At 37.2% G+C, this 13,081-nt stretch overlaps 1 protein-coding gene across 43 annotated transcripts in view, besides 1 other annotated feature; it reads right to left on the bottom strand.

The window, feature by feature from the left end:
* The window catches only part of ANK2 (ankyrin 2), a 678,115-nt gene that overhangs the window by 479,582 nt on the left and 185,452 nt on the right, over positions 1 to 13,081 (bottom strand). The window lies entirely within an intron of this gene.
* Positions 8,028 to 8,322: a silencer, noted in NCBI's record as "tiled region #8329; K562 Repressive non-DNase unmatched - State 24:Quies". NCBI's record gives its function as "represses a minimal TATA promoter and a strong SV40 promoter by Sharpr-MPRA in K562 cells {active_cell/tissue: K562}" and the evidence as "EXISTENCE:reporter gene assay evidence [ECO:0000049][PMID:27701403]".

Genomic DNA, 13,081 nt, shown 5'->3' with positions numbered 1-13,081 from the left:
GAATCTTGAGAGATTATGTTTACTTTCAGAGTCTGTCTAAATGCATGAAAAAGCATTGGCTGAAATTGCTGACCAAAGAGTATTAAATTGGATAAGCATTCCCTACCTAACAGTCAATGACAAAAACTAAGAAATGACAGATGCGTGTGGCCTACCCCTTCTTCTTCCTTTTATAACTGCCATTTGTTAAACATCTACAATATGTCAGAAGCTACACTAGCCATCTCATATATCGTATCTATTTATCCTTCATGACACATGGTAAAATAGGAATTACTAAGTCTCCTTTACAGGTAAGAAAAACTAAACATCATAAAGTTTACGTGACCTGACCAGCATTGTAAATGCCAGAGCCAGGATACATGCATCACAGAAGTCTTCTTTTTTTATTATATTTTGCTGCTTCCTTTCAAAAGATTTGATTTATTTACATGTTACACAATATCAAGAGATTGGACAAGTTTTTAATGCCAAAATCTTGTTATATTACATCAGGTTATGCTAACTGCTCACATTATTGAATCACAATATATCAGACTTTCATGAGATTTGATTTCACCTCTGGTATCATTAAGCCACTAATATATGGCCATGCTTCTACTTTATTTTCTCTTATTTTTCAAAGCATATTGGAACTTTAACAGCCATTCACTGACATTCAAGCCCATAAATGGTTATGAAAACATGAAAGACTCAAATACTAAGTGTTAGAAATGATGCAATGGCTTAGGATCCCTGGACCAATTATAGCAGAATCACTAAGGGTGCTTTTTCAGAAATCTCAGTGTTGAGTCCCATCTCAGTATAATTTTTAAAGACTACACTTTCTACAAACTCTCCAAGATGATCCCTCTGCATATTAAAGCATAGGAAAATATGGCAAGAATCACTGCCTTATACCAGTGGTTCCTAGACCAGAAGAATGAGCATCACCTGGAAACTCGTCAGAGACGCAAATTATTGGGCTCCCCTCCACCTTCCAATGAGAAACTGGAAGTGGGGCCCAATACTATATGTTTTAACAAGGCTTCCAGATAATTTTGGTGCAGCTGGAAGTTTGAGGACCATAGCCCAGTGTGAAACAATTCCTGGATTTTCTTGTCCAGAGGGTTTTCACTCTCTCTCTTGTGAACCATTAATATTTAGAGCTATTATGGATGGAGTCAAGGAAGTGTCATTCTTCAGTTTCCAGGAGGCTCTCTGAACTCCCGGGAATAGCCCTCTGGCACACACCCTGTTCAATGCCCACAGTCCTCTTTCTTCCCCTTATCTTACTTGATCTACTCTTTGTCTAGATTAAAAGATTATAATTTCAACAGATGTGGTGTCCACATTCACATAAACCTTAATAGGAGCTATTAAAATTATAAACACATATTCAGACACTGAAATCACAACCCTGTTTTTAAATTCCCTTGGAACTGTGTATGTAATGACAGTTATCAGATAGCTACCATAATACTTCTTTGAAAAAAATCTTCCCATAGTTCACTTCGCATGTGGTGAACAATCCTCTCTGTGTCTTAGTACAAATTCAGAAAGGACAACATTTAAGCATTCATAAGAACTTTCTACGAAAAAGACTAATCAAATTGAAATAAGAAGAACATAGCCTCCAGGTGTCAAAAGAATAAAAGAGGTTCACAAAAACCTGGCCCAATTAAAGTCCAAGGCATACAGACAATAGCATCACAGAATATTAATTGTGGACCAAGTTGCTTTCCAGCTCTTATATTAGTGAATGCGCCAACAGGAACCTGATTCAACATCTCACACAACAATGTGGAACATAGGAAAATCAATGTTGTGCACAGCATGCTGAGCAAAGTGTTCCATCTGACATTTAGAACTGGTTGCACTCAGCTACTTTTAATTTTAGTCCCAATTTCAAGAGACTGCCAAAGACACAAAGCTACTGCTTCAAGTCCTTGCTTCCAGCTCCCATTGGGATGATCTGTAGAGCCTTTGAATACTCAGCTCCACTGACAGAACACACATTATTTCCTTTTGAAACTGAAAAACCAGTTCCTGGGCTTTTGCATACATGTTTATTCTTCTCCAGGAAACTCAAGAGCAATTTAAGTGCTCTCCTCTTCACTGTGAGTCTGTAACTCTCCTCTCTTAATGATGCAGTGTCTTGTGCTTAGCTCAGTTTAAAATGCACTTTCCTGGCTGCCTTCAGATTCACAATTCAATTTAATTTGATTCTCCTGGCCCCTGGCTGTTGAATAACTTTCCATGGTGAAATATATTACATCTCTTTTTCTTCTTCTTCCTTTTTTTTTTTTTTGAGACAGAGTCTCACTCTGTCGCCCAGGCTGGAGTGCAGTGGCATGATCTTGGCTCACTGCAACCTCTGCCTCCTGGGTTTAAGCGATTCTCCTGCCTCAGCCTCCTTCCTGAGTAGCTGGGATTACAGGCACGTGCCACCGTGCCCGGCTAATTTTTGTATTTTTAGTAGAGACGGGGTTTCACCATGTTGGTCAGGCTGGTCTCGAACTCCTGACCTCATGGTCCGCCTGCCTCAGCCTCCCAAAATGCTGGGATTACAGGCAGAGCCACCATGGCTGGGCTTTTTCTTCTTTTAAGGCAGGGATTTTGTTTTGAGGTTGCAAAGAAACAACACTGAAAACCATTTGTAACAAAAAATTAACTAGACAGATACTTTCAGCATCAGCTTATCAGCATCTCTTTCCTCCCTAAACTTTATTTAAAAACTTCCTATAAAGATGAAGACTCACTAATTTTAACCTAGTATTTTTTTCTCCTAACTTTAACAAGCACTAAAATACTAAATAATAGATACAGTTGCTTTCCCTCACATTCTGGCCATTTTCTGGAACGTATGCTTGCATTTATACCTTATAGTTATCCAATCACAACTACTAAAAACCCATATCTGAATAATTGGATGAATAGTTAGATGGCTGTTGAAATCCCAGGGGCTAAAAGTGGTCACTCTAATACCCCAAAAAAATGACTCCCTACAAAAAGGTATGAAGTGCTAACAGTGTATAAGGCATTATATAGGTGCCTTCCAATGTAGTTGGAGATGACATAATTAAACCAAAAAAGTTAATAATAAAAACTTATAACTTATAGTGTGTTCCCAAGTACCAAAAATTATATTGACTACATACATTATCTCAACTGGTATTCAAAACAACCTCATGAAAACCCTCCTATTATCCACATTCTGTAGACAAGGAAAGTGAGGCTCTTGTCCAACACCATATTGCTCAATGGCAGGAATGAAAACCAAATCTAGGTTTTCCTGCTTCATAAAGCCTTGGTCTTACACATAGTTGCTTTTATAAATCAAGGCAATGTAAACTAAATGGCATATTGCTGGGTCAGGCATTAAAGGGCTTGGTGGAGGGTAATCTTCACAGAGGTGATGAAACTTAAGCTGAGTTTTGACATAATTAAGAGGACAGAATAGAAATGGAAATTGGGGGGAAGGAGAAAGATGGAAAGAGGGAGACTTGAAGGAAAGTGTTAAGTTGGGTTAATATTGGCTTAAGCAAATATACAAAGCAGGATTTCTCAAGGTAAGTTCAAATAGTGAACATTGTACCCAATAGATAAATTTTAACCTATCTCCCTTTTTCCCTTTCCCCGGCTTTTGAAGTCCCCCGTGTCTATCAAGAAATACATTCTTTATGCAGATCATCACTTACCATCTTTGACATAAATCACACTCCCCTATATGTGAAGGTTAAATAATGCTTCACCATAACCGAAAGCAATGTACAGACCATGTTCGGATCCTGATCTGAACAAACCAATTGAGAAAAAAAGGCAGGTTTGAGATAGGAGACAATCAGGGAGATAAGGATATTAGATATTTGATATTAAACTATCTTAAAGAGGGGTAATAATGGCATGGTGGATATGGTTTTTTTAAATGTCTTACTAGTTAGAGCATAATAAAACATTCACAGGTAAAATGACATAATGTCTGGTGTTCACTTTAAAATGCTCCAGAAAAATGAAACCAAAAAAATGTGGGGTGGAAGACAGATGGAACAAAATTAGTAAAATGATGACGATTTTTGAAGCTAAGTGGATACATGAGACACCTTATATTATTCTCCTTACTTTGGTCCATATTTGAAAATTTCCACAGAAGACTTTTTTAAGAGCCTCATGAAATGTGGCCAGTAATACAAAAACAACACCAAAATTTTGGTCTATATGGAGAGATGACCTCCCAAAATAGCTATATCATTCATTCATTCATTCATTCAGCCTGTGGTTTTTGAGTCTACAGTGTGCAGGGGGTTGTTCAAAGGTGAATGAGACACTGTTCCTGCACTCACAGATCTTATAATCATATAGGGGATGCAGGATGGAAAACTAATGACAGCAATCCAGAGTCATCATGGTGTGCAGATATGGACAAAGGATTTGATTAAGTTTAATATTTGAAAATTTGCTCTGGCTACAGGGATGGATTGATGAAAAGCAGAGAAAATGAAGATGGGAACTAAGACACTACCACTAAAACTGAAGATGTGATGGATATTAGAAATGCAGAAGAAGTAATATAATTCTCATACTACTTATAACTTATTTCTACTATTCATAAAATAGTTCATTCTGTTAGGTGCCTACGTTGTACCCAATCCTACAGAGAAAATCTAGTTTAGAATCCTCTCATCAATGCTAATGGCTAAGAAAATTGGGTTTTTATGGGGCCAGAGGGAGAAAAAAGAAGAAATTGTATATGCATGTTCATCTTAGTAATAATGTAAATAACAACTAACAAAATGAGAAAATTATAAATAGTTTAAAATTATTTTGGATGTCACTAAGAAAATATGTAAATACACAAATTTAAGCAATCAGTTTAATTGAAAGGGAACTCCTTTTTTCTTAACTCCAATATGTGGTATTTGGAATCCTAATTACTAATGTCACATCTGTATTCTGTTAAAGAAGTTACTTTCCTAACTTTCATTATTATTAAAATATGCATAAAGATATTCAAGTCTTTGTACTATTGCTTTCACTCATTGTTAAATAAAAACAATGAGACTACACCCACAGGAAAGGCTTCACAGCCCCCATCAACTTGGTTAGAGTTGAGCTAGAAAGCAGCACACAAGGCTTAGGTAATGCCTTTCCCTTCCCTAAGTGAGGTGTTAGAAATGCTGGAAATACCCTCCTCGGTGGTCATTTCTTTCACTGCCTCTCAGCCAGAATGAAATATCTGAACTGACAGTCGTGGATCAGTGTCTGTAGGGCAGCAATTTCTTCATGGAGCTGACACATCCCAGAGAAAAATACCATCCTCTGCTTCCTCCCCTTTTATCTCCTGCTGTGTCAACTACAAAAAAATTCTTTCTCTTGGAAAAAGGTCTGAGTAAGCCATGAGCTTAGTTATTTACGTCTATGTTCATTAGACAGGAGAAAGAAGAAAATGAACTCTTTCATTTGTTTTTATTATTTTCAAGGTCTTTTCTCAAGTTAATTTTAAATTAATTTCCAAATATGGAATCTAGAATTTTTATTTGAAGGAATAGTCAACACTGGTTTAAAAATGGTTGGCTTCAGTGGAGAAATCATATAAACACTGTCAGCCAAGTGACCAGAGTTCACATCAACAGCACTGTCATGTTCACAGTGCTACTCTTGATATAACGTGATGAAAATGGCACTTTATTCTGTGATCAAAACATGTAATCCAGTCTAATTATGAGAAAATCATCAGACACATTTCAATAAAGGGATATCCCACAATATACTTAACCAGTACTCCTCAAAATTGTCAAGAGCATAAAAAACAAAGAAAGCCCATGAAGCTGTTACAGCCAAGAGGAGACTAATAAGACACGACTATATAAATTTGGTATCCTAGAAGAGAAAAGGGGCATTTGGTTAAAAACTTTAAAAATCTCAATAAACTATGGACTTTAGTTAATAATAACACGATAACTTTATTTAATAATAATTTATTATTAATTGCAATAAATATGCCATGCTAATATAAAATGTTAATAATAGAAGAAATTAAGGGGAGAGGATAATCCCAGAACTCTGTACTATTTGCTCAATTTTTCTATAAACGTACAATGTTCTAAAAAATAAAGTCTATTGATAAAGATGGTTGGCTTCTCCTTTGATAAAATGTCAAAATATTTTCTCACCTGTTTGATCTATAGTTTATGTTCTATAAATTAATATTGATTTGATAGTAAACCTGGTTTTTTTGAGATATTTGAGAAGAATATGCATATTTTCTTCACTACCACAAAATAGATCTCCCAGCCTCAAAAAGGAAATATACAGGAAACTAGTTCTTATTATTCTTGGAAATAATGGGAATAAAAAGCTCTTCCAGAGACAAGAGTGCTGACACCTTCTGGAGAGGCATTCTGCCGCTGCTAGCTGAAACGGTGAGCAAGGGGAATTGCAATGCCTTGGTATTACAGGTCCCAAACAGATGTTCAAGCCACTCACCAAGCAGATGCACAGCATGGAGAGCTGAGCATCCATCTGGCCTCCCCCATAAAAAGACAAAACATCATCAGTGCCATGGATATTTTTAGGGCTAGAAAGATCCTTAAAAGATTATCTGTTTTAATCCCTTCATTTTCACAGATGAGGAAATTTTAATGGCCAACTAATTTCTGATCGGCAATCCTCTTACCACTCTTATGAAATGTAAAAAATAAAGAGGCTGATCCTGAGAGGTTAAAGAAAATCAGTTGCTTTTCTTTATAACCATGTATGCAAATAACTTTTGCTTGAGACAGATGATGTTTTCCATTTGAACTCCTATTGTGGAGAAGGGGAAAATGAAAAAAGTAACAAGGATGAAGACATGAACAAAAGGCATTGAACAAAGAAAGGGAATATTGGCAGACTGGGTCAAAGAACCCCAGGCTCCCAGGAAAACCCAGGAGAGAGAAACAACTTCTGTCATGGGGGACCAGAAGCTATAGCTATGCAAGGTGTTTGAAGAGAGCCATGGTTTTAGTTTTGCCTGAATGAAAATTTAAAGAATTGGCCACTTCCTCAGTGAACAGTTATCAGAGAAGCTCAGAGAAAGAGCTTCTCTAACCTCGGCTGTAAGAGAAATATGACTTGTCAGATCACCAGCTGGAAAAGAAGCAGAGGGGAGAGTGCGCCGGACAAGGAAAATGGAAGAAAAGAATTCATGATTGAGGAGTTATCGTCCCCTTTCATACAGAGGCTTCACTTTATTGGCGTATCTGTATGTAGTTCATATGTTGAGCATCCTCACGCTGGAGCTAAGTGGTTTGGTCTTTAAAGAACAGCTTCACTATGAGGGTGGTGGCTCACTGGAAGGAGCAGGTAAGTAAGTGACTGTGGCCGTGGTTCCAAGGCTGAATAAAGGGAGAAGCCCTGAAGTTCTCAGGTTGGTGACAGCAGAAATGACAGCTAAAAAAACAGGCAGTTTGAGCCTGGCATTTACAGTGTTTATCCAAACCAGCCACATAGCAGCAGTAAAAACTTGACCAAAAGCTCTTTAACCTCGTTCCTTAGCATCTGAGGTCAGGAATGCGACATCAAAGGTGTCTTTCTTTACTTGAGAAAAGCATTACCAGCACTCACACATTTATCTGTCTTTTCTACAAGGAAAAGGAAATCTCAATAAGCTGAGAAGTTTTATGCTGCATTCCTCAATCCTTTTTTTCTCCCTTCTCTTTTTGTTCTGGTAAAAATGGTTTCTATTTTGTTTCCAGTGCACAGATTTTACCTCTCAGAATTGTTACTTGCTTAAATAAAGCAAAGGGCTTAACAACAGACTGAAGGTAGGAGTAATTCATGTTTACACTTGAGAATTTGCCCCTGATGAATGAACGACTATGCTCTAAACAGAACCTATAGCCCATAGTCTATATCACACATGGCAAAAGAAACAGCTTTTGAAGACATATGCTGTAGCTCCTTCCTCCTATGGCTGGAAAACAAAGTACAAACAGCTAAGCTCTCTCTAAATAACCAATGGACATAAATTAAGTCAGAGCTTTGCTCCAAGTCCAGCAATCCTGCTGACCCTTCCAAGTCTTCTAAAGTGAGCTCCTTTTTCTCTGTCAGAGACTTTGGGTGTAATGGCCTGGAACTGAAGCAGTAGGGTGGCGGGTGGTGAGAGAATGAGAACAAATGCTTTCATTATGCAGCATGCTGAGGCAAAATGAGTTTGACTCACAAATGCAACACAATTGGGGCAATGTAGAGGCCACAATGCAGCAACGCTGAATCACAGACAGTTTGAATGCTCTCGCTTTGACACATACTCTCAGAGTTGACCAGTTTTCTGACATTACTGTCAACCAAGAACACTATTTTTGAGCTGCTTTTGTTCTGATTTTGATTTTGGAATTTATAAATACTCAGGAAAATAAACTCTGTGGTTTGAGGACAGATTTTGTGGGATGTTAGGCAGACTTTCAATGTAACCAAACTATGTAATGAAGTTGCTTATGAATTAAAAGTGTTCCTTTGGCTTCTTGGCATGATTGTATCACTCATCTGAAAAAAAGACAGAAGTGCCAGCATCTGCAAGCTCTGGGGCTATCTGAGCATAATAGCAAAATTGTGGCCTCAGTGGAGCATTAAAAAAAATCTATTTAACTCCCCAGAGAACAGATAATGATAAATTTCTGCCACTCTGAGGAGAAATCCATGGCGTTCAGCACCTAAAAGATTGTAAAATTGGTGGGGAAAATAATCCTGATGGTCACTAATGAATGAAAATTCCTTTTGCAAATCCTGCTCTGAATGATTATTTTTTCTTTTAAATTGGAAATAGGCTTGCCTACCCAAGTCTATGAAAGGGACGATTAAAAGGCTTTATGGTGAGTGTATCAAGTTCTCCCTAAGTACTATATTGATGTCATCCACTGTGGTATTAGGCTAATATGTCTGGTTTTTTGGTGCCATCTGTAGTTTTCAGACAAATGGAATATGAGAGCAACAACTCTAAGTGGTTCAATGCTTACCACAACAAAAATTTCCATTAAGAATTTTCCATTAGGAAAATATGTTTAAGACTATTTAGGATAACTAAGTTACCCTTAGGCCATTTACCAGCACATTGGTGCTTCATCTCTAAGCATCTCCATCAGGAGAGGCTTTACAAAACTTCTGCACAAAATGTGTCTAATGCACCAGCATCCTGATGTCACCAGTTCATTAACCCTGTCAGGCATTTGGCAAATTACTGGGAATTTTACCACTTATTAGTTATAGTCAAAGACTGTGGGGGAAAAAAAGAAATACTGTACATCAAATCTGGCTTTCAGATCTTGCAACCCTGTCATATCTATGAGCTCTGCTGTTCTAAAGCATGTTTCATTGATGTGACTCAAAGAAATCATAGCTAAAATATAACAAACTTCCCTCTTGTTTCTGCTCCTATAAAATCAAGCTGAAATAGCCAGGGGATGGTGGAAAAAGTGGAGCAGTGAGTTCTAGGAGTGACAATACAAATAACACCATGCTCCCAATAAAAAATGACATGGATTCATGGATCTTCGAGTATTTGCATTTTACCGTGTTTTCTAGACCCAGCTTTTAGGAAATTGTGGAACATTCTACAGCACACCCAGATAAATGTTTAGTTCCTCATAATAATGTGTTACTAAATCTACAACCTTCCATTATCGTCAACTCTTACATAGAACAGCAACATAATCAGCATTCATTTGTACTTTCATAATTTGAAGTTTGAAAGTTTTCAAATTATAAAAATAATATATATGTATGTATACTACATATCCGTATGTAACACCAAATACAAAAATTTTATGTCAATCAATAATTTTAATCTCCTTAAAAAGAAAAAACTAGAGATTCCTTCTATTTATATAAATGAATGGAGCTCTCCTTCTCCACTAGACTGAATTTCTCAAGGACAGGAAGCCAGGCTTGTATTCACTTCCATATCACAGGGCCTATTACATGCCTAGCCCATAGTAAGTGCTCAAGAAATGAGAGAATTTGATTTTTTTTTTTAAAAGAAGCCAACTAGGGCATTTTGAAATGGGACATCACAGAGTTTAAAGATGAAGAATTGATGTGGTACTGTGGAAACTGCACAAGGGCAAGGGTCAGCAAGCTTGTGTTTGCAGCTTCATTTTCCCGTTTCCTGTCTGTATGACCTTTTGTTTTGTTTTGTTTTTTGAAACGGAGTGTTGCTCCGTTGCCCAGGCTGGAGTGCAGTGGCACCATCTTGGCTCACTGTATCCTCCGTCTCCTGGGTTCAAGCAATTCTCGTGCCTCAGCCTCCCCAGTAGCTGGGACTACAGGTGCATGCCGCCATGCTGGGCAAACTTTTTTGTGTTTTTAGTAGAGACAGAGTTTTGCCTTGTTGGCCAGGTTGGTCTCAAACTCCTGACCTTAAGTGATCTGCCCGCCTCAGCTCCCAAAGAGCTGGGATTACAGGTGTGAGCCACTGCACCTGGCCTGCATGACCTTGAGTAAGTAACTATATCTCTGTGGAGGTTTCCCCCATCTCTAAAAAGGGGAGAAGAATCTTGCAAGACCATTATGGAATAGAGAATGTATACAACATGCAGAGGTTGATAAATGGTCATTATTATGACAGTGTGTCCTGAAGTTGTTTATATTAGGTTGGTGCAAAAATAGTCGCAGTTTTGCCATTAAAAGTAATGTCAAAAACCACAATTATATTAGCAAATTAAGATTTAAGGTGCTAGCTGGGTGTGGTGGCTCACACCTGTAATTCCAGCACTTTGAGAGGCTGCGGTAGGAGGATTGCTTGAGCTCAGGAGGTTGAGACCAGCCTAGGAAACATAGGGAAACCTCATCTTTAGGAAAAAATATTTTTTTAAAAAATTAACCAGGTGTGGTGGCATGCACCTGTGGTCCCAGCCTACTTGGGATGCTGAGGTGAGAGGATCTCTTGGGTTTGGGAAGTTGGGAATAATAATAATATTCACACTTATAGGTATAATGCACTTTCCCAAATACTTTATATGCTTTATCATATTAATCTAGTCAATAACCACATAAAGTAGTGTTATCTTCGTTTTGCATCTGAGAAAATTGAAGTTAACATTTCCAGGATTGTTTATAAGATTGGAGCTAGAATATCAGAATGAGTTCTTAAGAGAACATAAAAGCAACTTTAGAAACCTATTTATCTGAAATATAGTTGAAATAACCATTTGGGGGATATAAAAGACTTATAAAAATATATTTTTAGAATGTGCAAATGAATGAAGATTTACCCACTACGCATCCTAAAGGCCATCCTAAAAGCAACAGCTTAAGAAGCAAAATACTTGGAGTTCGATTGGTTTTGCAGACATCAAACTAATATCCCATATCCTATGATCTCAGAATTCAAAAAGGATAAACTAATAACAAGAACAAAAAGAACAATTATGCCTTAAAGTTTCACTTCAATACCCTTAGCATGCATATCAGTCTCACTGATTCTGAATCTTTACAACTCTGACCATGTGAATATGAAACACGCTATTTTCTAATAGCAGTACATCCAAGGTCTAGAGCTGGTAAACAGGACAATGTCAGCATTCATAGCAAGTCCATATCTTTGTAAAGTACTTTATATTCATAAAGAGCTTTCAAACACTTTACTTCAAAATTCTTCAAAATTTGAGTTGGGTAATTGTTACGATCCTTAATAATTATAGAAGCTATCATTTGTTGAGTTTCTATAATAAGCAGGATGTTATATACATGCATACACACACATGCAGACACTTACTTCATTCTAATCCTCACAACAGCCCTATAAGGTAGATGTATGTATAATTTACCAATGAAATAGCTGGGGCTGCTTGCCCAGGGGACTTACCCAAGCTTAATAAAGTTAGTCTAATTCCAAGGGCAAATGTTCCTGGCATGACAGGGCTATTTCCCCTTTTCTAGCACATAACACCAATAAAATTTTTGTGTAGATAGCATTTGTGTAATGGCCTCTTCCATTTCCATCCCTTCCTTCCCCCTGGAATCCAGAACTGTTTCACTGGCCCAGAGCCACCTAGAACTCCCATATCCCATCTGAATCAGCCCTCCCAGGATCATCAGGTGCTAAATATTTCTCCTACCCCAATTCCCACCCACCCACTGCTATCATCAAAACTTACCTAGCCCACCACTATACTTTTATGTCTTTTTTGAAATACAAATTATCCTTGTAACCATGGATGCTAGCACATTTTATTCCTCTGGGATAACTTATTCATTCATTCCTTTAGTAAATATTTATTGAGAACTTATTAGGTAACGCTTTCAGAAAACTATGCTTTAATTCTAAGGACTGACTATAGAAATGAAGCTGTATTTATCTTCAGGCAAGTCTTTTGATACCACTCAAAGCATAATGACAGAAATCACTCTTTCTCCATGCGTAATAATAGACAATACTTATCAAGGGTTTCCTCTTTCCTAATGCTATGCATGTATAACCTCATTTAAAATACAATTAAATGGTATTAATAATATTATTTTTATTTTATATACAGGGAAACTGAGGCATAGTGGTGAGGCAGTTTGACAAATATAAGATGGCTAGTAAATAGTAGAATCAGGATTTGAACTTAGCTCTGCCTCCAGAGCTGCTACTTCTAACTACTAAGCCATATTACCTCTAGCTTTTTAAATAATGAGGGCATTTATAGATTCTAGTTTGCCTTGGATAATTTTGATATAAGCTTGCTTTCTCCGTGCATAATTAATAGCACTCCTTTTAACTCTCAAAAGTATCCTGTTTTGAAAAATAAATTATATTGTCACCCTGTCTCCAATAAAAAAAATAATTGATAACTTGACATGGCTGGAATAGAAAATAGCACAAGATTATTAATTTTGTAGATTTTATTGTAAGCAGATAAACAAATTCTATCATGCATTCACTGGGACACAAAGGAAGCATGGGAAGGAAGAACAAAAAAGGAAGATGAGGAGTCATGAATCTTGATTTAAGTACAGGATCTGCTACTGCTAGTTACGTGGCACGAGGCAAGTCACAAAACCTCTGAGTCTCAATCTCATCTATTAAATAGAGTTTAAAACACCAAATCCAGTGTTGTGGTGAAAAGTAAATGACATTACA

This window comes from Homo sapiens, chromosome 4 (genome assembly GCF_000001405.40).
Source record: "Homo sapiens chromosome 4, GRCh38.p14 Primary Assembly".
NCBI classification, from domain to species: domain Eukaryota; kingdom Metazoa; phylum Chordata; class Mammalia; order Primates; family Hominidae; genus Homo; species Homo sapiens.
Note: the sequence above shows the minus strand (reverse complement) of the source record. Positions and strands in the feature narration are given on the sequence as shown.